The sequence below is a fragment of the Homo sapiens genome, chromosome 21, assembly GCF_000001405.40.
Source record: "Homo sapiens chromosome 21, GRCh38.p14 Primary Assembly".
NCBI classification, from domain to species: Eukaryota; Metazoa; Chordata; class Mammalia; order Primates; family Hominidae; genus Homo; species Homo sapiens.
Window position 1 is genome coordinate 33,245,240 of NC_000021.9, and position 24,256 is coordinate 33,269,495.

The 24,256-nt window shown below is 45.5% G+C and overlaps 3 protein-coding genes and 1 long non-coding RNA gene across 15 annotated transcripts in view, besides 6 other annotated features; 3 read left to right on the top strand and 1 right to left on the bottom strand.

Moving 5' to 3' along the window:
- The window catches only part of IFNAR2 (interferon alpha and beta receptor subunit 2), a 35,727-nt gene extending 15,302 nt beyond the window's left edge, over window positions 1-20,425 (top strand). For 2 of the 8 annotated variants that reach the window (NM_000874.5, NM_207584.3), the window contains exons 5-9: window positions 1,479-1,651; window positions 3,470-3,615; window positions 7,423-7,591; window positions 15,358-15,488; window positions 17,322-20,425. In NM_000874.5, coding sequence (NP_000865.2) covers window positions 1,479-1,651; window positions 3,470-3,615; window positions 7,423-7,591; window positions 15,358-15,488; window positions 17,322-17,477 — 775 coding nt within the window. In that variant the 3' untranslated portion in view covers window positions 17,478-20,425. The remainder of the gene's footprint in view (window positions 1-1,478; window positions 1,652-3,469; window positions 3,616-7,422; window positions 7,592-15,357; window positions 15,489-17,321) is intronic. The other 6 variants (NM_001289125.3, NM_207585.3, NM_001289128.2 and 3 more) reach the window with 4 other exon arrangements.
- Window positions 1-24,256, top strand: part of IFNAR2-IL10RB (IFNAR2-IL10RB readthrough) — a 67,284-nt gene that overhangs the window by 15,302 nt on the left and 27,726 nt on the right. Inside the window, exons 5-8 of the mRNA NM_001414505.1 lie at window positions 1,479-1,651; window positions 3,470-3,615; window positions 7,423-7,591; window positions 23,155-23,278. Of these exons, the coding sequence (NP_001401434.1) occupies window positions 1,479-1,651; window positions 3,470-3,615; window positions 7,423-7,591; window positions 23,155-23,278 (612 nt within the window). The remainder of the gene's footprint in view (window positions 1-1,478; window positions 1,652-3,469; window positions 3,616-7,422; window positions 7,592-23,154; window positions 23,279-24,256) is intronic.
- Window positions 192-791: an enhancer, noted in NCBI's record as "NANOG hESC enhancer chr21:34617736-34618335 (GRCh37/hg19 assembly coordinates)". NCBI's record gives its function as "activates a minimal SCP1, AML or CMV promoter by ChIP-STARR-seq in naive H9 embryonic stem cells {active_cell/tissue: H9 hESC(naive)}" and the evidence as "EXISTENCE:reporter gene assay evidence [ECO:0000049][PMID:30033119]".
- IL10RB-DT (IL10RB divergent transcript) lies at window positions 20,393-21,021 on the bottom strand. The gene is made up of 2 exons (NR_038974.1): window positions 20,824-21,021; window positions 20,393-20,663 (listed from the first exon to the last, which is right to left on the bottom strand). It is a non-coding gene; the product is annotated as an IL10RB divergent transcript (long non-coding RNA).
- Window positions 20,644-20,703: an enhancer, noted in NCBI's record as "active region_18371". NCBI's record gives its function as "activates an Ori minimal core promoter by ATAC-STARR-seq in GM12878 lymphoblastoid cells {active_cell/tissue: GM12878}" and the evidence as "EXISTENCE:reporter gene assay evidence [ECO:0000049][PMID:35858748]".
- Window positions 20,734-20,803: an enhancer, noted in NCBI's record as "active region_18372". NCBI's record gives its function as "activates an Ori minimal core promoter by ATAC-STARR-seq in GM12878 lymphoblastoid cells {active_cell/tissue: GM12878}" and the evidence as "EXISTENCE:reporter gene assay evidence [ECO:0000049][PMID:35858748]".
- Window positions 20,974-21,383: a silencer, noted in NCBI's record as "silent region_13254". NCBI's record gives its function as "represses an Ori minimal core promoter by ATAC-STARR-seq in GM12878 lymphoblastoid cells {active_cell/tissue: GM12878}" and the evidence as "EXISTENCE:reporter gene assay evidence [ECO:0000049][PMID:35858748]".
- The window catches only part of IL10RB (interleukin 10 receptor subunit beta), a 43,816-nt gene continuing 40,687 nt past the window's right edge, over window positions 21,128-24,256 (top strand). For all 5 annotated transcript variants that reach the window (NR_175973.1, NM_001405849.1, NM_001405850.1 and 2 more), the window contains exons 1-2: window positions 21,128-21,275; window positions 23,155-23,278. Coding sequence is in view for 4 of the 5 variants with exons in the window: in NM_001405849.1 (NP_001392778.1) it covers window positions 21,227-21,275; window positions 23,155-23,278 (173 nt within the window). In the remaining variant the exon portion in view is untranslated. The remainder of the gene's footprint in view (window positions 21,276-23,154; window positions 23,279-24,256) is intronic.
- Window positions 23,494-23,643: an enhancer, noted in NCBI's record as "active region_18373". NCBI's record gives its function as "activates an Ori minimal core promoter by ATAC-STARR-seq in GM12878 lymphoblastoid cells {active_cell/tissue: GM12878}" and the evidence as "EXISTENCE:reporter gene assay evidence [ECO:0000049][PMID:35858748]".
- Window positions 23,654-23,703: an enhancer, noted in NCBI's record as "active region_18374". NCBI's record gives its function as "activates an Ori minimal core promoter by ATAC-STARR-seq in GM12878 lymphoblastoid cells {active_cell/tissue: GM12878}" and the evidence as "EXISTENCE:reporter gene assay evidence [ECO:0000049][PMID:35858748]".

The window sequence follows — 24,256 nt, forward strand, 5'->3', positions numbered from 1 at the left end:
CATCACACATCCATTTTTAATTCAGTTGAATACTTTAATAATCCAAATCTATTTTGACAAAGCTTGTATGTGTCATCAAAGCCAATTTCTACAGGTCAGAACCTCACATACAAAATAATTCTTGTGTATGGGTTAGGCAATGATTTCTCTAATTCAGTCAGTCTGAATGTTTAAAAGTCCTGTTATCTGAGGACAGGAATCCAAAGGTCTATTGACCATATTGATGGTTTATGTTCACTTTTCTTTACTCTGGTGGGACACCAGAAAGCTGCCTGGCCTAGTCTGGGACAGGCCTGGGTCCATAGTCTGGTTTGGTCACTAACCAGCTTGACACTTGGCACGGACCTCAGCCCCTAAGCTAATGCCTCTGCTGAGGGGTTGCTGCAAGGATTCGTGACATAATGGATGGAGTCCTGCTTGTCTTTTGTCTTCCCACACCTACCAATCGCCCTTAGAAGTCATTGCTTTGATCCAGCAGCCCCTTGGAGTGTCCTTTTGATGGTTATTTATTTGGCCTAGAGCTGCTGCTGCTACTGCTTATTGACTGAGCCAGTGGGAGACCTCTTGTGAGTTTCTCTTCGGTGCCTGCTAAAAAGTTTTTCTCTGCATTGAGTGGTCACATGTATCATCCAACTAACTGAAGCTTGGTAGATGAGATATCTGCATTGTCCCTGAAATAGCCCAGGTCTGACTTAGGACTGGATCATCTAGTCTTAGCCAGAGAGGGAGGGGGTCTCAGGGAAGGCATTCATAATTGTCCCATAGAGGAAGGGAGATCTGAGGCTTCCACCATGAGGGCCCAAGTTTCATTCATTCATTTACTCATCCGGCAATTTTTTTTTTTTTTTTGAGACGGAGTCTCACTGTGTCACCAAGGCTGGAGTGCACTGGTACGATCTTGGCTCACTGCAAGCTCCACCTCCCGGGTTCACGCCATTCTCCTGCCTCAGCCTCCCAAGTAGCTGGGACTACAGGCGCCCGCCACCACGCCCAGCTAATTTTTTGTATTTTTAGTAGAGACGGGGTTTCACCATGTTAGCCAGGATGGTCTCAATCTCCTGACCTCGTGATCCGCCCGCCTTGGCCTCCCAAAGTGCTGGGATTACAGACGTGAGCCACTGCACCCGGCTCCTCCGGCAAGTTTTACTGAGCACCTACTACATGCCAGGGGGTCCAACTGTGAACCAAAGTCCCTGCCCTCCTGGAGCAGACATTATGTAAATGGAGACATCAGTAAACAAAGGTATAATGTGACAGGTGTGGGTAAATGCTACAATCAAGAAAAGAGAGGGATTGAAAGTGCAGGGGTGGGGAGGGCATAAGATGTTCCATTTTCAATAAGATGGTTGGGGAAGATCACTTAATACAATGATATTTGGGCAGAGCCCTAAAGGAAACAATGAAGTAAGGCGCCCAAAAATAGACTCTCATTACATCAATGCTAACAATTTCCTTTTTCCATTTTTTTCTTTCCAAAGTAAACCAGAAGATTTGAAGGTGGTTAAGAACTGTGCAAATACCACAAGATCATTTTGTGACCTCACAGATGAGTGGAGAAGCACACACGAGGCCTATGTCACCGTCCTAGAAGGATTCAGCGGGAACACAACGTTGTTCAGTTGCTCACACAATTTCTGGCTGGCCATAGACAGTGAGTTTTATCTCTGTTTCTCCACTTCGTCCCCATCATCAAGATCTTTATTATTTGCTATTCCATGAAATAGGAGGTCTACAAAGGTGTTTTAGACCTGGGGCTGGGCTCACCTCTTGGCCCTGCCACTTCCTAGCTCTGTAACCGTGGACTGCTTTGCTTCTCTGAGCCTTGGTTTTCTAAATCTGAAAAGTGGAATGATAATTTGTACTTTGCAGATTTGCCCCGTGCCTGTATAAGGCAGTAGGAACTGCTGTTTTCGGTTTTGCAGCCTGACAGGAAGTCTGGAGCCAGGTTCAGGTGGGCTGGATCTAGCGCTCTCATCTCTCTGGCCCAGGATTTTCTTTCTTTCTTTCTTTCTTTCTTTTTTTTTTTTTTTGAGATGGAGTTTCACTCTGTCACCTAGGCTAGAGTGCAGTGGTGCGATCTTCGCTCACTGCAACCTCCACCTTCCAGGTTCAAGCGATTCTCCCACCTCAGCCTCCAGAGTAGCTGGGATTACAAGCACACACCACCATACCTGGCTCATTTTTTGTACTTTTAGTAGAAATGTTTCACCATGTTGGCCAGGCTAGTCTCGAACTCCTGACCTCAAGTGATCCACCCGCCTCAGCCTGCCAAGGTGCTGAGGTTACAAGCATGAGCCACCACACCTGGCCCCAGTGTTTTCTTAATACAGCAACTCCACCCCCTCATTATAACCCAATGTTCTTTTGTGTGTGAACACCAAGTGTGCATGCACCTAGTACCCAAAGCTCAGAGGAGAAGACTAGACCCCAAGAACAGGCCTACCCCTTCTTTCTTTCCCTGTGACTCAAGTCAGTTCCCTAACACACTGTGTTAACAGCCCCAGCTGTGTTACTTTTTCAATTTCCCACTTTACAACGAGTTTCCAAGAGAACCATCTGGTCTCAGCTTCCTGTTGTAGGCTATGCGGGTGTGCACGTGCTCATACATGATTAGCAAAGTGGTAAGGATAACTGAATCCCCCTGTGGCAAACAATTCGGATACGACATTTGCTGGATTTGTGTGCATGTTTACGTATGTGTATAAACAGACATCTGTGTGTACACACAGAAAAGAAAGAAAATCAGAATTTATAGTTCATGGTATTTGGGTTGTTAAAGAATGCATATTAAAGTAACAGTGAGATATGTTTCATGGCTCAAATGATAAATATGAAAAATACATAAATATCCAGGTTTAGAGGGAATACAAAGAGTGTGCTTTGGCATGGTCCATCTGAAGTAATTGGCAGCATGTATTAAAAACCTTAACATGTGCTTACTCTAATCCAGAATTCTTTAGTAATTTGTCCCAAAGAAATTATTAAGGCCAGGCACAGTGGCTCACACCTGTAATCCCAGCACTTTGGGAGGCCTAGACCAGTGTATCACTTGAGCTCAGGAGTTCAAGACCAGCCCGAGCAACATGGGGAAACCCTATGTCTACATTAAAAAAGAAAGAGAGAAAGAAAGAAAGTTAGGGGGGAGGGAGGGAGGGGGGGAGAGAGAGAGAGAGAAAGAGAAAAGAAAGAAAGAAATTATTAAGGACAAATGCAAAAATTTAGTTCCAAGAATATCCCATGATACATTAAGTCTTTAATAAAAATCAGAGACAATTTAAATGTTCAAAACAGTGAATCAGTTAAATCATGATACAGTCACTTAGTGGAATAGCATTAGCAATGAAAAATTATGATGTAAATCAGGACTTGGCAGATTTTCTATACAGGGCCAGAGAAGAACCACTTTAGACTTTGTGGGCCACATATGGTCTCTGTGACATATTCCTGTCTGTTTTTGTTTTTTGCACAGTGTCTTTTGAACCACCAGAGTTTGAGATTGTTGGTTTTACCAACCACATTAATGTGATGGTGAAATTTCCATCTATTGTTGAGGAAGAATTACAGTTTGATTTATCTCTCGTCATTGAAGAACAGTCAGAGGGAATTGTTAAGAAGGTAAGTGGCTTCTCCTGTTAGGATCAAAACAGTTCTGAGTGGGCAATCAATGCACTTGACTGTCTCTTTTGAAAGGAAATTTGCAGTTGAACAATTAAAGCTAAAACGTCAGGCTTCAGTATGGTCCGACTTAGGGAAGAAGTCACTATGGTTCATTCACTATTGATCTAAACCTGCAGCACAGTGTTCTTTAAAAGAATAAGCCACGGCTGGGCCTGGTGGCTCACGCCTATAATCCCAGCACTTTGGGAGGCCGAGGCGGGCAGATCATCTAAGGTCAGGAGTTTGAGACCAGCCTGGCCAATATGGTGAAACCCCATCTCTACTAAAAATACAAACATTAGCTGGATGTGGTGGCAGGCATCTGTAATCCTAGCTACTCCGGAGGCTGAGGCAGGATAATCGCTTGAACCTAGGAGGCAGAGGTTGCAGTGAGCCGAGATCGCACCATTGTGTTCCAGCCTGGGTGACAGAGCAAGACTCCGTCTCAAAAAAAAAAAAAAAAAAAAAGAGTAAGCCACATGCACAACATCAAGGAACACACAGGAGAGAGGGTGTGGGAGGGAGATGCAGAGTACAGCCAAATTTCAGTGAACCCTGGAGAGATTTATTTGAAAAGGAGAGTTTAGCTGAGCCACCCGTGAAAAGCATCTGTCGCTGCCTCTCTGGCCCTCACACACAGTAAGGAAGTGGCTTATCTGGCAGGTTCTGTCCTCTCCTAATTTCTGCAAAGGACCTGACTCTCAGTAACCTCAGGGTTATCTGGTATCAGACAGCCCTGCATCTTCAATTTTTGTTGTCCCTAGCCCTCCAAATGCTGGAATAAGTGGAAATGGACAAATTGCTCTCACCGGTGTAGCAGCAGCTTATGTCTGTAGAGCCCTTTGCCAAGTATAAAACCCTTGCAAGTGAGACCAGCCTGAGAGATAATCAGGGTAGATGCATTTCAGGCGGAGGGCACAGGAAGTTCAAAGGCTCTGAGGCTGGAGTGGGCCCGGTGTATTTCAGCAACAGCGAGGAGAGGTGGCTGAACTGGAGTGACCAGGCAGGAGATGAAGAGGAGGTGAGGTCAGAGGGTAAATGTGGCTGGACCTGGTAGGAGTTTGTGGGTCTGGGTCTTCTGAGTGTGATGGAAGCCTGTGGAACCCAAGGCTTAACAGAGCATCCTGGCTGGGCTGTTAAAAATAGACCACAGGGGCAAAGATGGGAGTTAGGAGACCAACTAAGACACAATCCAGGGTGGCAGTCACTTAAGAGGCAGTAACAAATTATATGATTATTATCATTTTTCTTTTAATATCGACATGGATTATAATCAGTACTCTAGGAAAAGGAGCAAAAATGGGTGAAAAATAAGTTTATGTGGCCTAAGGACTATGTGGAGTGTCATTAAATCTGTTTCAATCATGTCTCGTTTGTGTTCACCCCATAAGCAACTAACTCTATGTTTTAGATTATGATTCCTAAAATAAGAGACTGTTGCTTATTAGGATATTGACTACTCTATAAGAGGAAAAACTGTAGTTAATAGGCATCTTCTTCATAAGGAAAATTAGCCTTTAAATCCAGAAAAAAAAATAAGCTACTAGTATAATCTAAGCAACAGATGGTGGTGGCTTGGACCTTGATAGTAGAGGGGTAATGAGTAGTGAGAGGCCATCAAATTCTGCATATATTTTGGGTTTTGTTTGTTTGTTTTTGAGATGGAGTTTTGCTCTTGTTGCCCAGGCTGGACTGAAATGGCATGATCTTGGCTCACTGCAACCTCCGCCTCCCGGGTTCAAGCCATTCTCCTGCCTCAGCCTCCCTAGTAGCTGGGATTACAGGCACCCGCCAGCACACCCAGATAATTTTTTGTATTTTTAGTAGAGACAGGGTTTCACTGTGTTGGCCAGGCTGGTGTTGAACTCCTGACCTCAGGCGATCCACCCACCTCAGCCTCCCAAAGTGTTGGGATTACAAGCATGAGCCACCATGCCCAGCTCATAATTCTGCATATATTTTGCATGTGGAGCAAGACTAACTTCCCCATTAACTATGGAAGATGATGAATGAAGCAGGTGAGGGTTAGATAGGGTTAGAGGGTTTGGGACATGTTAAATTCCAGGTGTCCGTAAGGAATCTAGGAGGAGACGTGGGGAAGGAGCTGGATGTGCCAGTCTGTTGTCCAGGAGAGAACCCGCAGCTAGAGAGAGAGCCTGGGAGTCACTGGCTTCTTGGTGCATGTTGAATGCCCTAAGACCAGATGAGGTCACCTGGGAATAGACACTCAGAGAGAAAACAAGACATCCAGTGACAGAGCCCAGGAACATTCCAAAATTTGGAGATCTGGCAAATGAGGAAGAAACAGCAAAATCGACTGAGAAAGAGCAACCAGCATGGTAGGGAGAGAAGCAGGTGAGAGTGATGTCCCGGTAGCTGAGAGAAGAACTTTCCAGAAGGTGAAAGTGGTCTACTGAGTCCAGTGCTGTAAATGGGACAATTGAAGAGGACTGACTATTGGATTTAGCAACATTGTGTCCTTGATAAAAGTAGTTTTAATAGAGTTAGGGGCAAAGAGCTGGTTGGAGTAGATTCAAGAAAGAGTGGGAGGAGAAAAATTGGAGACAGTGAAGAGAGCTCATTCTTCCAAGGAATTTTTCCAAACAGGGAAGGAGATTGTGTGCTGGCCACTGGAGGGGAAGCTTTTAGTTTGTTGGGTCGTAAGTTTGTTTGTTTACTAACTCCTCCTCCCAAACAGAAATTTACAGAAAAACATCATTACTGAAGGCTGTATTTGAGCTGCTAGGAATCCTCATTTATTAAACTGCTAGTAAGAATGTATTTTAAAAACTGTAAAACATGATACAAAAGTTATTATTCATGAAAGAGCCTTCATATCATCTTTTAAATTCTGAAGTGAAATGCAACTACAGGAAAGAAGAGGCAAGGTGTTTAAAGGGAGATGGCTGGGCACAGTGGCTTACGCCTGTAATCCCAGCACTTTGGAAGGCCAAGGCAGGCAGATCGCTTGCGGTCAGGAGTTCAAGACCAGCGTGGCCAACATGGTGAAACCCCATCTCTACTAAAAATACAAAAATTAGCCAGGCATGGTGGCGGGCATCTGTAATCCCAGCTACTCAGGAGACTGAGGCAAGAGAATCTCTTGAACCCAGGAGGTGGAGGTTGCAGTGAGCCAAGATCATGCCACTGCACTCCAGCCTGGGCAACAGAGTGAGACCCCATCCATCTATCTATCTATCTATCTATCTATCTATCTATCTATATCTGTCTATTGATAAAGGGAGAAGATGAGAAACTAGACATCAGTCAGTTTTGTCACAGACAAGCTCTGTGACCTTGGAGAAGTTACTTAGCCACACTGAGCTACAGTTTTCTCATCCGTTGAATGGAGGTAATGCCTATTTTGCAGACTGTTTTGAAAGTCAAAAGGGTTAATGTTTATGAAGGCACTTTCTCAAGTGTAAAGTAGACACACACTGTCCATGAGAGAAGATAATCTTGTAAAAATGACGTCACAGAGACTTTTATTCCTCTTTGAAGACTTTTATCTCATTTGTAAAATGAAGGCGCTAGACTAGATGTCATGGTTATAAAATATGTGTGTGTGCAGGTGTATATTAAAAGTGCATGTAGGTGTAGTTTTCTGATAAATTACTTGCTCCAGATGACTTATAAATCCTTTTTCTTACCAAGCCTGTGATAAATCTAACCCTGTTTGAGATTTGAAGACAAATCCCAAAAGAGATTAAGGCCTACCTCTAAATGAAATTCTCAGTCTTACTGATTTTTTGCTTATGTTTACAGCATAAACCCGAAATAAAAGGAAACATGAGTGGAAATTTCACCTATATCATTGACAAGTTAATTCCAAACACGAACTACTGTGTATCTGTTTATTTAGAGCACAGTGATGAGCAAGCAGTAATAAAGTCTCCCTTAAAATGCACCCTCCTTCCACCTGGCCAGGAATCAGGTATGTTCATTTTTTTAAATTCATGTTTTGAGTATTCATGCTTTTACTCTGAGGGCAAGCCTATTTAAAGAAAAGAATCTGAAAAGAATTCATGGAGCACTAAAGGTCTTTCTTCCAGTAAACACCTCACAGAGATGTTTTCTGTTGGTTCGTGTGTATGATCTGGTAGAGTCACTTTTATATTGTCATACCAAAAAACAATCAGATACTACTCGATGAGATCAGAAATCTTGAAATGGAAACGCTTTTGTTTCAGGGAGTCAGGATTAAATTCAGCACTGTGTGCCCTTTGTGTGGCCATTGCTGAAGCCAAATGCCAGAAGAGGTGGAGTTGCTTGAGACAGTGGTATACAGTGGCATTAAGGGGTGAAAAGGTGGAAGCAGCGAGGTTGGGTGCAGTTCATGGATGTGATCTGGCATCAGCTCTCGCTCATAGATGAAAGGAACCCTTGCCAGGGTGTACGAGAAAATCACTGATGAAGGCTGAACACCTTTCTGTTACACAGACATCAGAACAATAAACAGTGTGATCCCAAACCTTCTTCCCCTTTGGAGTGAGAACAATCAAGCCTCGGAACTCCCTGCTGATTGTTTTCTCAGGAAGTAGCCAAGTTTCCACCTGTTTTACCAAAAGTGAGAAGCTATGCAAGTCTCCCTCAAAGAAGCCCTTCTAAATGTCCCAACCGCAGTGTTAGGGGAAAGAGGTCCCAATCCATACCCCAAGAGAGGGTTCTTGGATCTTGCGCAAGAAAGAATTCAGAGCGAGTCCGTAAAGTGAAAGCAAGTTTATTAGGAAAGTAAAGGAGTAAAGAATGACTACTCTATAGACAGAGCAGCCCCGAGGGCTGCTGGTTGCCCATTTTTATGATTATTTCTTGATGATATGCTAAACAAGGGGTGGATTATTCATGCCTCCCCTTTTTAGACCATGTAGGGTAACTTCCTCACATTGCCATGGCATTTGTAAACTCATGGTGCTGGTGAGAGTGTGGCAGTGAGGACGACCATCTTGGTTTTGGTGGGTTTTGGCCGGCTTTACTGCCATCTGTTTTATCAGCAAGGTCTTTACCAACGGTATCTTGTGCCAACCCCCTATCTCATCCTGTAAGTTACAATGCCTAGACTGTCTGGGAATGCAGCCCAGTAGGTCCCAGCCCCATTTTACCCAGCTCAAGATGGAGTTGCTCTGGCTCAAATGCCTCTGACACCAATGGAAGTATCTTTAATGTTCTGATTTACCAGAATAAAAATAAGGTAGGATCTATAAAGAAATTACTTTAGTTGTAAACCAAAATAAAATTCTAAGCCCCCCAACCAACTGAATGGATCCCTCCTCTCAGCCAAGGGCCGAGTAAAGTAAAGTAAACCTGAAACACTAGTTCAGGCCATGATGGGAGTGAGTGGTCCAGACGTGCCTCACGGGACCTTCCTACCTTTGGAATTCAGGCACAGCTGGCCAGCACTAATATTAAAACAGAAACCTTAAGACTGACAAAAAGATGCTTTGTAGCACTAATACCAGCATGATGGATAGCAGGCCCTAAAAGAAACCAAAGTGTTTTACCCCAAAATACATTTCTTTGACATATTTTGAAATGGCCCTGCAAAGCTGTCTCTTGCAGGGAAAATCTGCTTTCTATAAAGAACCCCCTTCCCAGTCCAGGTGTTCTTCCTGATCCAAGAGAGAATTCACTAAGAGTCTGGCACTTTTTTAAGTCCAGTAAGAAACATTTACAGTCTGTTCTCTCTGAAGCCTGCTACCAGAGGCTTCATCTGCGTAATAGGAACCGTGGCCTCCGCAACCCTTTGTCTTAACCCAGATGCTTCCTTTTATTAATTCCAAGTTTTTAATCAGAAAATCTTTGAATCTACCTATGACCTGGAAGCCCCCCCACTTCGAATTGTCCCACCTTTCCAGATTGAACCAGTGTACATCTTACATGCATTGATTGATGCCTTATGTCTCCCTAAAATGTATAAAACCAAGCTGCACCCTGACCAAGGGTTCTCGGGATCTCCTGGGGCTGTGTCATGGGCCATTGGTCACTCATATTTGACTCAGACTGAATCTCTTCAAGTATGTTACTGACTTTGGCTCTTTTCATTGACAAAGTGATATGGTCACTTGTGAATGAAGTGAGCCACGGAACGTTGCCTGGCACATAACGGTGCTCTGTGTTGGCTTCACTACAGGGCAATATGATTTGATTCTCTAGTGTTCCTCAAGACCAGATGATGCACAGGCTGGTTCTAAAGGAAAAAACATGTCAAACACCTTTAGCGTAAGTTATTTTTATGTCAGCAAATACAGGCAAACTTAAAACTGCATATAGATTCTGACTATAGCTCTTTCAAAAATATAAATCCAAAATAAATGTGCATGTCTTTGTTCTAACACCAGCTATCTGACACTAACTAGTTGTCCAATGATTCCATTCATTTCTGATACTACCCCAGGTTAGCACAGACCCCACAGGTTAAAGGCTCAGTCCCACAAAACTGCCTGCCCCCACTTCAGATGCCAGCCACAAGTCATGGGTGACAAGGTTCCCTGCACTTCCACCTGACTTGGCTACAAATTCAGGAGTTCCCATGACCTCCCTTTAGGTTTGATAATTTGCTAAAATGACTCACAGAACTCAGGAAAGTGTTATGGCTTATGATTACCATTTTATTATAAAGGAATTGATGGACAGCCATTGAAGAGGTGCACAGGACAAGGTCTGAAAGGGTCCCAAGTGCAGGAGCTTCTGTCCCTGGGGAGTCAGGTGTACCACCCTCTCTGTACATTCATCTGTTCATGAATTTGGGGACTCCCCAACCCTTGGTGTTCACAGTTTGTATTGGGTTTCATTATGTATGTGTGATTGATTAAATTACTGGCTGCAGGATTGAACTCAGTCTCCAGCCCACTCCCCTCCTTGGATAGAGGTCAAATGGGGGAGCTGGAAGTTCCAACCGTCTGATCATGTGGTTAGTTTTTCTAGGGACCAGCCCTCATCCTGAAGCTATCCACACCCTGCCCCATCACCTCACAAGCATAAACTCATATGTGGCCCCTAAAAGAGGCTTGTTAACAAAAGACACTCCTAACGTTCAGGAAATTCCACAGGTTTTTGAAGCTCTGCTCCAGGAACTAGGGACAAAGACTGGATATATATGTATATTTTATTATATCATTGATCTTACATACAAACGAAACTCTTATAGACAATAAAAACTGAAATTAGTGACCTGGCAGACAGATGGTGGTTTATTGAAACTCAGTCCCCAGTTCCAAGGTGAATGTGTTGCTGATGAGAAGGCACAAGCTCCTTGGAGGTTGATGAATTCTGTGATGACTCACTTTCTCCCCTGACTCTTTTCCATTTCACCTACTAAGATGTTCATGTAACAACATCCTCTCAGGTCATTCCATTTTTACTTGGCGTGAATGCGTCATGTTGCACATCAAGTCAGCCCTCATTCTTTGATTATTACCCGAGATAGGTCAAGTACCGCTCTCTTTAATTATCCAAATACTGTACCTGATGTCAAATTCTTGTTTGAAACTCAGGAAGCAAATAGGTTCAGATAACGTGGCCTCTGTCACTATCTGCTTGCCATCTGACGTGCCCTCAACCAGCCAAACTCAGAAACCAGACAGGTTTGGATGGTGAGGGGTCTTGGAAGGATAGCCTGAGACCAGCATTAACATAGGCTCAGCAGTAAGCACTGTGACCCAATCCTAGGGCAGACTGATATGGGGGGATTTTAGCCCAGACATCTGGAGAAACACCTTCCCCTTGTCAAGCCTTAAAACTAATGGTTTGTCTCTTTTATTAATATTAAGGCCCTAAGGAAAAGCTCTATTCATTCATTTGACAAATGTTTATTGGGGGCCTGTTATGAGCCAGATTCTTTTCTGGATATTGAGGATTTAGCAGTGAACAAAACAGATTAAAAACTTCTCACCTTGTGGAGCTTACATTGCAGTAGGAGACAGAATAACAAGATCAACATGTAAAATAGACAGTATGTTAAGTAAGTACCATGGAAAAAAATTATGCGGGAAAGGAGGTGAGGGGGATGTCAGGTTGAGGAGAGCAGGTTGCTGTTTTTAATAGGATAGTGTCTTGATTTGCATTTGCTAGAAGCAGAGCCTGGGATGTGAATTCATATTCAAGTGTGATTTATTGGTGGGGGCATCTTAGGAGAAGGGGAAAGAGGGAACAGGTAGGTACAGGGAGAGAGAAATTAAGCAGGCATGTGGCTCTCAGCTGAGCCTGATCCCAAGGGGTTCTCGGAAGCGTGAACTGTATCCTCAAGTCAGCAGCCAGTCAGTTACTGGTGGTGATCTATGGCATGGCCTCCAGATGAGGCAGCCCCCTTTTGGGCAAGGGCAGTTCCTTATGTGTCCGGAGTTGGTTCCTGCCAATGGGTTCGTGGTCTCGCTGACTTCAAGAATGGAGCCGCAGACCTTCCTGGTGAGCGTTAACAGCTCTTAAAGATGGCACAGACCCAAAGAGTGAGCAGTAGCATGGTTTATTGTGAAGAGCGAAAGGACAAAGCTTTCACACCCTGGAAGGGGACCTGAGCGGGTTGCCACTGCTGGCTGGAGGTGGCCAGCTTTTATTCCCTTATTGTCCCTTCCCGTGTTCGTTTCTGTCCTATCAGAGTGCCCTTTTTTCAGTCCTCCTCGTGATTGGCTACTTTTAGGATCCTGCTGATTGGTGCATTTTACAGAGCGCTGATTGGTGCGTTTTAGAGTGCTGATTGGTGCGTTTTACAGAATGCTGACTTGTGCATTTTACAATCCTCTTGTGAGACAGGAAAGTCCCTGATTGGTGCGTTTTACAATCCTCTTGTAAGACAAGAAAGTTCCCTAAGTCCTCACTCCACCCAGGAAGTCCAGCTGGCCTCACCTTTCACTTAGAGAAGGATCAGCTCTGAGAGATATCAGCAGACACGTGCGGCAGCAGTAGTGGGTGTGCACTGACTGGAAAAGGGGACATGGGCAGGCCACCCACAGCATCCACCACAGATGGCCACAGATGGCCTTCCTGAGAAGGTAGCATTTGAATAAAGACCCAAGGGAGATGTGGTAAGCAGAATAATGGCCCCCAAAGATGTCTACATCCTAATCCCAGATATGTGAACAGGCTAACCTCTATGCCAAAGGGGCTTGTGGGTGTGATGAAATTGAAGATCTTGGCCAGGCGCAGTGGCTCATGCCTGTAATTCCAGCACTTTGGGGGGCCGAGCCAGGTGAATCACCTGAGGTCAGGAGTTCGAGTTCAGCCTAGCCAACGTGGTAAAACCCCATCTCTACTAAAAATACAAAAATTAGCCAGGCGTGGTGGCATGCGTCTGGAGTCCCAGCTACTTGGGAGGCTGAGGCAGGAGAATCTCTTGAACCCGGGAGGTGGGGGTTGCAGTGAGCCAAGATGGTACCACTGTACTCCAGCCTGAGCTACAGAGCAAGACTGTGTCTCAACAAAAAGAGAAGCAGGAGACTCAGAGGCAGAGAAGGAGCTCTCACAGCAGCAGCAGAGGTCGCAGAGTGAGGATGAAGGAGGGGGCCATGAGCAAAGGAATGCAAGTGGCCTCTAGAAGCTGGGAAAGGCAAAGAAATGGGTTTTCCCCTAGAGCCTCCATAAGGAGTTCAGTCCTGCCAACATCTTGATATTTTTTATCCCAGTGAAACCCATTTTGGATTTCTGATCTCCAGAACTATTAATATAATATATTTATATTGTTTTATGACACTAACTTTGCATCATTTGTTACGGTGGCAATGGGAAACAAACACAAGGTGAGGGAGTGAGTCACGCAAACCTATCAGGGGAAGGAGTTCCATATGCGGGGTTCAGCAAGTGCCAAGTGCCCGAGGCAGGATATGCCTGGCACGGCACGGCAGGAGTGAACTGAACAAGGGAAGAATAGTAACAGTTCTGGTCAGAAAAGATGGAGGAGCCTGAATGACATAGAACTTAGAAGCCGTTGCAAGAGATGGGGACCCTCAGAGGGTTGTGAGCAGGTTGCTCTCCGTGATCTGACGTGGGATGTAAAGGGAACATCCATCCACATGCCTTGAAGTGGGAGCCAGGTGACCCCTGGGCTGATTACTGCAGTCACCCAGGGGAGAGGCGGTCTTACTTGTTCCAGAGAGGTAAGTACGGGAGGAACTATAAGAGACTGATGTTAGTCATCGCCAGTCTTTTCATAAAGTTCTTTATCTTTTCCATTAAAGATCATTGTGATCAGATATTACCAACCCCGTTGCTCAGTTCAGCCCTCTGCTTGTGAGGTTTCTTATTTTTTGCTTAAAATATCTCCACAGTGAATCCAGAGACAGACAGGTTTGTCCAAGGCCAAATTTTTAAGACACGACCTGGTCTCTCCTTCCCAAGATGGGTTGATCTGGTCCATCTTTCATGAAGAAGATAGTTAACAGCAGTAACATTCAATCACAGCTTCTCCTTTCTGAGTCAGAACATTGATGGGATTCATCTCTTTTCAAATATGAATATTTAAAAATAGCATGCATGTATAATTGTCATGACCCCAAGTGAGATTTCTATTTTTTAGATTATCATCAAGCTGAAAACAAACAAAAATTCTAAGTTCTCCTAAAGAATTCTCAGACTCATGAGAATACCCCAAATTGAGGAATATTATCCTAGCATATTAACTACAATTTACACAATTTGGTTTGGACATAGAGTGCATTGTAGCTGTTATATGCAAGTTGGATGGGTACATGAGTCACAATCTCTGTATTATGCCATTCCTTCACCAGTGAAATCACTTTGGTTTACAGTACCCCTTTCAAGAATGTAAACGCTATACATGTCAGAATTTTGTATCCTAAAGGCGTGCCTCTGTGGCTAGATCTGATTCTGGAACTGTCATTGATATGACAATCCAATCCTTCACACTCTTGATGGAGGTGAGAGTGGATTCTTGAACCCTGTGCTATCTAACAGTGTTTTTACTGAACTATCAAGGGTTTTTACTGAACTTCTTTCTATTCATTCCTTAACCTTCTGGAAGACTTAGAGTACATAATCCATTTGATTTCCTTTTTTCTCCCCTCTATCTATTTTTGCCTGAGGCTATAGTTCGAGGATTAATACTAATGAAGACCTTTCTGGAAGTGCAAGAGAGCCTTAGTGATATAACTACTGATTTTTCAGTCTGGTCGCACTTCAGGAAAATAACTATGGTCAGTCAAAAAGCTGAAATTTTCCAAAAGGAATTTTGATGAGAAACTAAGGGGAACTGTTAATAGAGCAAGGCAGGTTCTGCAGAGCCCTGACTTGTGGCCCCAGCGTGGCTAAAGTCCAGCCTCAGAATGACCCAGTTGGTTGTTTTCAAGCAAACTTTCCTTCCCCACTTCTTCCTGCCCGCAGCGCATGCTAACCAGTGTGGCTACCGAACGTTTGAGATGTGTTTCATGTGACTGAGAGACCGAGCTCTTAATTCTGTTTAATTTTAATCATTTAAATTCAGCCAGCTGCAGCCAGTGGCTACTCCACTGTACAGTGCAGTTATAGAACATAAACTGAAGGAAATTTTACTTTTAAAAGCTAAGTCTATTTTATTGTTTAAAAAATGCACACTTAGATAATTCTCCAGTCTCTGGTATTTCTCAATATAAAACTGTTTTTTCAAACCTTTGGTTTCTTGATCATCTTGTAACACCAGGCCAATGTACATTTATTTCCATCTGCAATTGTTTATTGCATTTTTTGAAATAAAGTCATTTAATTTTTCATCAACAGAATCAGCAGAATCTGCCAAAATAGGAGGAATAATTACTGTGTTTTTGATAGCATTGGTCTTGACAAGCACCATAGTGACACTGAAATGGATTGGTTATATATGCTTAAGAAATAGCCTCCCCAAAGTCTTGGTAGGTAGTTTTTTTGTTTTGTTTTGTTTTTTCTATCTTTGTTTTTTATTTTAACTTAAGAATTTGTATTTATATAAATATTTTCACAGAAGAAAATCTCATTTTCTATAAACACCAAAATGCTTTCTCACTCTGAGTTCTTTTCCATATCTATAAATGTATATTTTGCAGGGTTTTTGTTTTGTTTTTGTTTTTATTATACTTTTAAGTTTTAGGGTACATGTGCACAGTGTGCAGGTTAGTTACATATATATACATGTGCAGTTGTAAGTGTATCTGTGCATCTGTGCATTTTATGTTTTCTTTCCTTTTTTTTTTTTTTTTTTTTTGAGACAGTCTCACTCTGTCACCCAGGCTGGAGTACAGTGGCGTGATCTCAGCTGACTGTAACCTCTGCCTCCTAGGCTCAAGCAATTCTCGTGCCTCAGCCTCTCAAGTAGCTGGGACTACAGGCGTGTGCTACCACACCTGGCTAATTTTTGCATTTTTAGTAGAGATGGGGTTTTGCTATGTTGGCCAGGCTGGTCTTGAACTCCTGACTTCAAGTGATCCACCTGCCTTGGCCTCCCAAAGTTCTGGGATTACAGGTGTGAGCCACTGCACTCAGCAATGTTTTGTTTTGTTTTGTTTTTATACTTCATCACATAATTTATAATGATCAGGTAGAATTTCATTATTATTAACATACCATTTTTCATTTAACCATTTCTCAGCTAAAGGGCATTTGGATTTCTTTTCCTTTTCTTTTCTTTGGTGATGATGAATAGTACAATAAACATTTTTATATGGATCGTCTTTTTGTTTTGGATTATGTCAGTGGAACATATACACAAAGTGGATTTATCCTATAAAAAGATTTAAAAAGGACTAGGCACAGTGGCTCACGCCTGTAATCTCAGCACTTTGGGAGGCTGAGGCGGGTGGATCATTTGAGCCCAGGAGTTTGAGACCAGCCTGGGCAATATAAGGAAACCTTGTCTTAGAGAAAATAAAAATAAATTAGCCAGGCATGCTGGCACATGCCTGTGGTCTCAGCTACTCAGGAGGATGTGGTGAGAGGATTGCTTGAGCCCAGGAGGTGGAGGCTGCAGTGAGCTGTGATTGCGCCACTGCACTCCAGCCTCGGTTACAGAGTGAGACCCTAGCTCTAAAAATATATAAATATCTTAAAAATATAAAGAAGCAGCCAAAGGAGAGGAAGTTAAGAGGAGTAAGTCAGAACATAGTCTATGTGGCCAGCAGCCTGCCTGGTTTGAAAGGCAGCTGCTCCCACTCACTAGTCACAAACCTTGAGCAAGTTTCTTAACTTCTGCACCTCATTTTCTCATCTGTAAAGTGGGCATAAGAATAGTAAGCCTGGCCAGGCGCGGTGGCCACGCCTATAAACCCAGCACTTCGGGAGGCCAAGGCAGGTAGATCACGAGGTCGGGAGTTCAAGACCAGCCTGGCCAACATGGTGAAACCCCTTCTCTACTAAAAATACAAAAATTTGCCGGGCATAGTGGCGGGCGCCTGTAATCCCAGCTACTCAGGAGGCTGAGGCAGAGAATTGCTTGAACCTGGGAGGTGGAGGTTGCAGTGAGCCAAGACCGCACTACTGCACTCCAGCCTGGGCAACAGAGCGAGACTCCCGTCTCAAAAAAAAAAAAAAAAAAAAATAGTAAGCATACCTCATAGAGCAGTTGCAAGGGAAAGGTAAATTATATATAAAGCACCAAGAGTCATGCCCAGCATATAGTAAGCATGGTGTAACTGTTAGCTGTTATTATTGCTGTCATCATCATCAACTGCATCATCATTCAATCTCATTAAGTTTATTTTTTATTTTTTTAGAGGCAAGGTCTCGCTAAGGGCTGGAATGCAGTGGCTATTCACAGGTGCAGTCATAATGCACTACAGTCTGAAACTCCTGAGCTCAAACAGTCGTCCTGCCTAAGCTTCCCCAGTAGCTGGGATTACAAGCGTGCATCCCTGTGCCCCAGTGATTAAGTTTTATTATGTAGAAAATAAAGAGCAAACAGTACAGCTGATACGGACTCTCTCTCTCTTTTTTTTTTTTTTTAAGAATTTTCATAACTTTTTAGCCTGGCCATTTCCTAACCTGCCACCGTTGGAAGCCATGGATATGGTGGAGGTCATTTACATCAACAGAAAGAAGAAAGTGTGGGATTATAATTATGATGATGAAAGTGATAGCGATACTGAGGCAGCGCCCAGGACAAGTGGCGGTGGCTATACCATGCATGGACTGACTGTCAGGCCTCTGGGTCAGGCCTCTGCCACCTCTACAGAATCCCAGTTGATAGACCCGGAGTCCGAGGAGGAGCCTGACCTGCCTGAGGTTGATGTGGAGCTCCCCACGATGCCAAAGGACAGCCCTCAGCAGTTGGAACTCTTGAGTGGGCCCTGTGAGAGGAGAAAGAGTCCACTCCAGGACCCTTTTCCCGAAGAGGACTACAGCTCCACGGAGGGGTCTGGGGGCAGAATTACCTTCAATGTGGACTTAAACTCTGTGTTTTTGAGAGTTCTTGATGACGAGGACAGTGACGACTTAGAAGCCCCTCTGATGCTATCGTCTCATCTGGAAGAGATGGTTGACCCAGAGGATCCTGATAATGTGCAATCAAACCATTTGCTGGCCAGCGGGGAAGGGACACAGCCAACCTTTCCCAGCCCCTCTTCAGAGGGCCTGTGGTCCGAAGATGCTCCATCTGATCAAAGTGACACTTCTGAGTCAGATGTTGACCTTGGGGATGGTTATATAATGAGATGACTCCAAAACTATTGAATGAACTTGGACAGACAAGCACCTACAGGGTTCTTTGTCTCTGCATCCTAACTTGCTGCCTTATCGTCTGCAAGTGTTCTCCAAGGGAAGGAGGAGGAAACTGTGGTGTTCCTTTCTTCCAGGTGACATCACCTATGCACATTCCCAGTATGGGGACCATAGTATCATTCAGTGCATTGTTTACATATTCAAAGTGGTGCACTTTGAAGGAAGCACATGTGCACCTTTCCTTTACACTAATGCACTTAGGATGTTTCTGCATCATGTCTACCAGGGAGCAGGGTTCCCCACAGTTTCAGAGGTGGTCCAGGACCCTATGATATTTCTCTTCTTTCGTTCTTTTTTTTTTTTTTTTTTGAGACAGAGTCTCGTTCTGTCGCCCAAGCTGGAGCGCAATGGTGTGATCTTGGCTCACTGCAACATCCGCCTCCCAGGTTCAAGTGATTCTCCTGCCTCAGCCTCCCTCGCAAGTAGCTGGGATTACAGGCGCCTGCCACCATGCCTAGCAAATTTTTGTATTTTTAGTAGAGACAGGATTTTACCATGTTGGCCAGGCTGGTCTCAAACTCCTGACCTCAAGTGATCTGCCCTCCTCAGCCTCGTAAAGTGCTGGGATTACAGGGGTGAGCCGCTGTGCCTGGCTGGCCCTGTGATATTTCTGTGAAATAAATTGGGCCAGGGTGGGAGCAGGGAAAGAAAAGGAAAATAGTAGCAAGAGCTGCAAAGCAGGCAGGAAGGGAGGAGGAGAGCCAGGTGAGCAGTGGAGAGAAGGGGGGCCCTGCACAAGGAAACAGGGAAGAGCCATCGAAGTTTCAGTCGGTGAGCCTTGGGCACCTCACCCATGTCACATCCTGTCTCCTGCAATTGGAATTCCACCTTGTCCAGCCCTCCCCAGTTAAAGTGGGGAAGACAGACTTTAGGATCACGTGTGTGACTAATACAGAAAGGAAACATGGCGTCGGGGAGAGGGATAAAACCTGAATGCCATATTTTAAGTTAAAAAAAAAAAAAGCAAACACAAAGATGCTTCAAGATCTTCAGGAGAAGTATGGTATACAAGTTTCAGGGACCCTATTTGACAATTTTCAGAGTGCTCTCTATGCTGATTCCGAGTCGAGTGTGTCAGCTGTGATTACAGTGCCTGTGGATCTAGGCCGGGTTGGGGGGGTGTGGGCGGGGGAAGGGAAGTCTGGCCCGGAGCAATTGCTCCTGCCGGTAACCCCAGCACTTTGGGATGCCTAAACAGGCGTATCGCTTGAGGCCAGTAATTCGAGACCAGCCTGGGCAACATGGCAAATCTGTCTCTACAAAACAAAATTAGAAAAATTAACTGGGCGTAGTGGCATGTGCCTGTTGTCCCAGCTACTTGGGAGGCTGAGGTGGGAGAATGGCTTGAGCCCAGGAAGCGGAGGTTGCAGTGAGCCAAGATCATGTCACTGCACTTCAGCCTGGGTGACAGAACCAGACCCTGTCTTTAAAAAGGGAGTTGGTGGGGAGAGGTTCTAGAATGTCATGTAGCAACCAGTTTAAGGACTGGGACTCAGGGATCCAACTCCCACAGTTTCCCTGTGTGACCCTAGGCATTTGACTTAGCCTTTCTGAGCCTCAGGTTTTTTGTTTCTGAAGTAAAAGGATTGGACTAGGTAATCTCCAAGATCCTAGGAACCCAGGAGAAAGATGAGAAAATGTACAAGAATGAACACTCAGGTGGAAATGCTGCAATCCTGAGAAGCTCCCAGGATGAATGAAAGGCACAGGACCTCTTACCCCTCACCCCTGCCCCCCTCAAGAGCTGGTTTCTCAAACCTTTCTCTTAGGCCCCTTCAAAGGGGGAAAACTAAAAATTATACAAGTTATAGTTCAAGGACTTTAAATAGATTATTTATATGATTGCTCATAAGGATGAGGCTGTGAGGAGGGAACACCTTATTTAATCTAATGAAATTCCATAGGAAAGAGGCCTTTTGTATATTGAATCAATTTATCTGCCTTCTCAGTGCATCTGTCATATTCTGAAAGATTCTGGGTTGATCTTTTGCGATAACCTCTATGGCTGTGAGTGTGTGTGTGTGTTTGTGTATTTTTTAACATTTTGTATAATGATTGGAGGTTGGTAAAAAGTAACACAACAGTACTTTTTTAATACAAACTTGGTGTGGTCTTGAGTTGTCTTCCATTGGAGAGCGTACGTGTGCCACAGATTGGTGCACCTGCCGGCATCTCTAGGATTGCACCAACTCCCTCTAGCTCTTCTTGGTGGCCTGCAGGGGCCTAGGGCGCATTCACTTCCCTCTGCTTGACTTTACGTGGTGTTCTAGCGTCAGACATCAGGCGATGCCGTGCATTACCCAAGACACTGGACAGCTCCGGATCTTCCCGTCTAACCACTAATCAAGTTAAAAAGAGGAAATTAACGCTTTCTTAGTAGTCTCTGAAAGAAACTAGTTATTTGCGTAAAGATGACTTGGTTTTGTGTTGTTTATCCCTGGGGAGAAGGGTAAAGAAGACCCTCAAACTGGATTTGCTGCTGAAGTGCTTTTAACTCACCTGTGCGGAGAGCGGACTTCAAGAGAGGGCGTGCCGGTGCTCCGGACAAAACCTGGGGAATACTGAAAGCCACCACCACCACCGTCATTCCAGCATGCAGATCTCAGTCCTGGGTTGGTGTTGTAGGGCATTTATTTATTTGACTTGACGGCGCCTTTCAAAGCTTGCGAGGATCCCTTCCTCTTCCTCGTGTGCATCTGCCAAGCCTGTGCCCCGCGCCTCGCGGGTGGACCCGGGCTGGTGGGCGGGGCCTGCAGCGGGGTGGGAGCCCGGTCGCCCGGCCCCTCCCCACCCCGCCCCGCCCATCTCCGCTGGTTCCCGGAAGCCGCCGCGGACAAGCTCTCCCGGGCGCGGGCGGGGGTCGTGTGCTTGGAGGAAGCCGCGGAACCCCCAGCGTCCGTCCATGGCGTGGAGCCTTGGGAGCTGGCTGGGTGGCTGCCTGCTGGTGTCAGGTGAGGGGTCCGCGGGGAGGGGGCGCGCTTGGGAACCGGGAGGCCCCGCGAGATGCCGCCCCTGATCCCATCCCTGGGCGCCCTGCAAGTGACTTAAGAGCCTTCGGGGCCTCGGGAGAGAAGATGCAAACGCCACGGCCGGCTGCTGAGACGCAACTAGGCTGCTGCTGCCGTCGATTCTGTAACAGGAGAAAGCCCCATCCGCGCCCGGATTACAGACCGTCTGGGCCCTAAACTCAGGGGGAGACTCCCGGCGTCTTTTGATTCCCTGTCCTCCTGCAGCTCTCTGCTGGCGGGCGTCTAAATAAAGTAGCTTCCCCAAAAGACCCAAGATCCCACCGTGGCTGTCATCTGACCCTTCTGGAGACTATCAGTTCAAGTGGAGGCCCCCACCAGTCCCCGAGTGCCCTGACAGCCCTCCCTGACCCCAAGTCTGCCCCCTCAGTGCCAGCCCTCCCTACAGATGTGCCTCCCATCACCCGCTGCACCTCCCCTCCTTCCGGTTCAGGCCCGAGCACCCTGAAATCTGGATTCTGTCCCCCAGCGCCCCAGCTCCATGGCTTCTAAACCTAAATCCATTGAAACCTTTTCTGTCCTCTAAATTGACTGCCTAGGTTCCAATAACACCATGGTCACCTCCTTCCTTTCTCATGAACTCTTCCCTGGCCTTCCGGGATACCCCTCCGGTTTCCCGCCCTGTCAGGCTGTCTCTGCTTGGGACCCTCCTGCTCTGTCAGGTTTCTATGTAGCTAATTGTGATGCCCAAGGCCTTTTCTCTCCTTCCCTGGCACTGTTCCTTTGGGGGATTTCAGCCAAACCCTGGCATTAAACACGGGCTATAGGCCCATGACTCGCACATTTATATCTCTCTTGGTACCAGTTGGGTGATGGGTGGTGGTTTATTATAGTCTTCTACTTTTCTACTTGCATGTAGGTTTCAAATTTTCTTTTCTTTCTTTCTTCTTCCGTTTTTTTTTTTGTTTGTTTGTTTTTTTGTTTTTTTGTTTTTTTTTGAGACAGGGTTTTGCTCTGTTGCTGTGGCCCAGGCTGGAGTGCAGTGGCTTGATCTTGCCTCACTGCCACCTCCGCCTCCCGGGTTCAAGCGATTTTCCTCCCTCAGCCTCCCGAGTAGCTGGAATTACAGGTGTGTGCCACTACGCCTGGCTAATTTTTGTATTTTTATTGGAGATGGGGTTTCGCCATGTTGGCCAGGCTGGTCTCGAACTCCTGACCTCAGGTGATTCACCTTCCTCAGCCTCCCAAAGAGCTGGGATTACAGGCGCGAGCCACCATGCCTGGCCAGGTTTCGAATTTTCTATTAAAAGGTTTGAAAATAATTTCTGTCTCTAGCCCACATCTCTTCTTGGTGTGACCTCTGGGCTCATTCATCTGGCTGTCTCCCTGACATTCCTACTTCAGCCTCTCTCCAGCATCTCCAACCTAATGCAGCTCAAATGGGACTCGTGAGTTCCCCAGCTGAGCTCCAATCGGGGCACCAGCTGCTTAAGCCCAAAATGGACATTGACCTCAGCTTTTATGCATCAAATGTATCAGGAAGTCTCCAGTTTGTTTTTACGTCTGGAAATATATCTGAAATCCATGTGCCCACCCTACCCCCTCATAGCTTTCTGCCACCAGACAAATCCAAGGCTCCTTTGTCTGTCCCCATTTTACTCCTGCCCCTCCAGAAATTTCTCCTCACGGCTGTTCAAAGAAAATCTAGACTCCTCAGCACAGCCAACCTGTCTCTCCCTCCCTCACCCACGTGGCCTTTGAAGACATGGAGCCATAGAGGAGAACCAAGTGCTGGATGTGGGCTTTTTCATGGGCATCTGTTTTGAGGAGAAAAGTTGTAAATGTTTTTGTCTTATTTTCATAGCATTGGGAATGGTACCACCTCCCGAAAATGTCAGAATGAATTCTGTTAATTTCAAGAACATTCTACAGTGGGAGTCACCTGCTTTTGCCAAAGGGAACCTGACTTTCACAGCTCAGTACCTAAGGTGGGTCTGGCCTCACTATTGGCAGGAACGCACCGGAGGAGCCAGCCCTGGGCTGGTCACTGGGTTGGGCCACAGGAGGAAGGGAGTCTGACTACGGTCACCGTGTGACTGTGACAACCCTCAGGGAGCCTCCCTGCCAGCCTTTTGCTGTCTGGGAAATTCTCGTGGCCACCTTTTCTCTTTTAGGTTTTCTAGTTGTGATGGTTGACGATTTGACTGTTAATCACAGGGCTGCTGGCAGATACAGACATTTTATCATGCGTATGTAGATATAATCAGCCATAGTGGTAACCTCATGCTGTGCCCATCCCAGCTTGTTTGTCACAGTTGATATATTTTAAAAGAAAAATACCACTGCTGTCATCTCTAGGTATGAGTAGTATTGCTGGAAGTCAGCAATGTTGAGTGGATGCTACCCAAGAAACTGAGATATGCAAAGCGGTCAGGAAGCCCCTTGCTACCATATATCACCTGTTCCCCTCCAATGGATTATAACATCATGCCCCAGTGCCATGCGCGATGCACATAATTTGCATAATGAGTGCTCAGTTTCTCCGTGGTTCCATCCTGAAATTAAAAGTAAGACAGCTACTGACTGTTAAAAACCCCATTCTCGGACAACAGCAGGGGCTGTGAAGGAAGAGTGAGTGTCACCCTAGACGGTCATCTCAGTGGTGATCTGAACGCCCTCTACCTCTCCTGCCTGTCAGTGTTTCCCTACGCCTGGTGAAGGAAGTCAGTGCCAGCACTCCCTTGGCAGCCTGCCACCATACGCCACATGCTGGACTGCAGGTGACACACCTTTAGGCCAGGCGCAAACAGCAGCAGGAGGCCCAAGGCTGACAAGCCAACACACCTGCTTTCTGTGTGACTCAGAAACATACGAAGATAGACAAGTCCTTCAGTGAGGCAGGAGGAAATTTCTTCCCAGATCCAGCTGTCATTTCACAAAAATCCCCAAGGCCTGCTACATCAGAG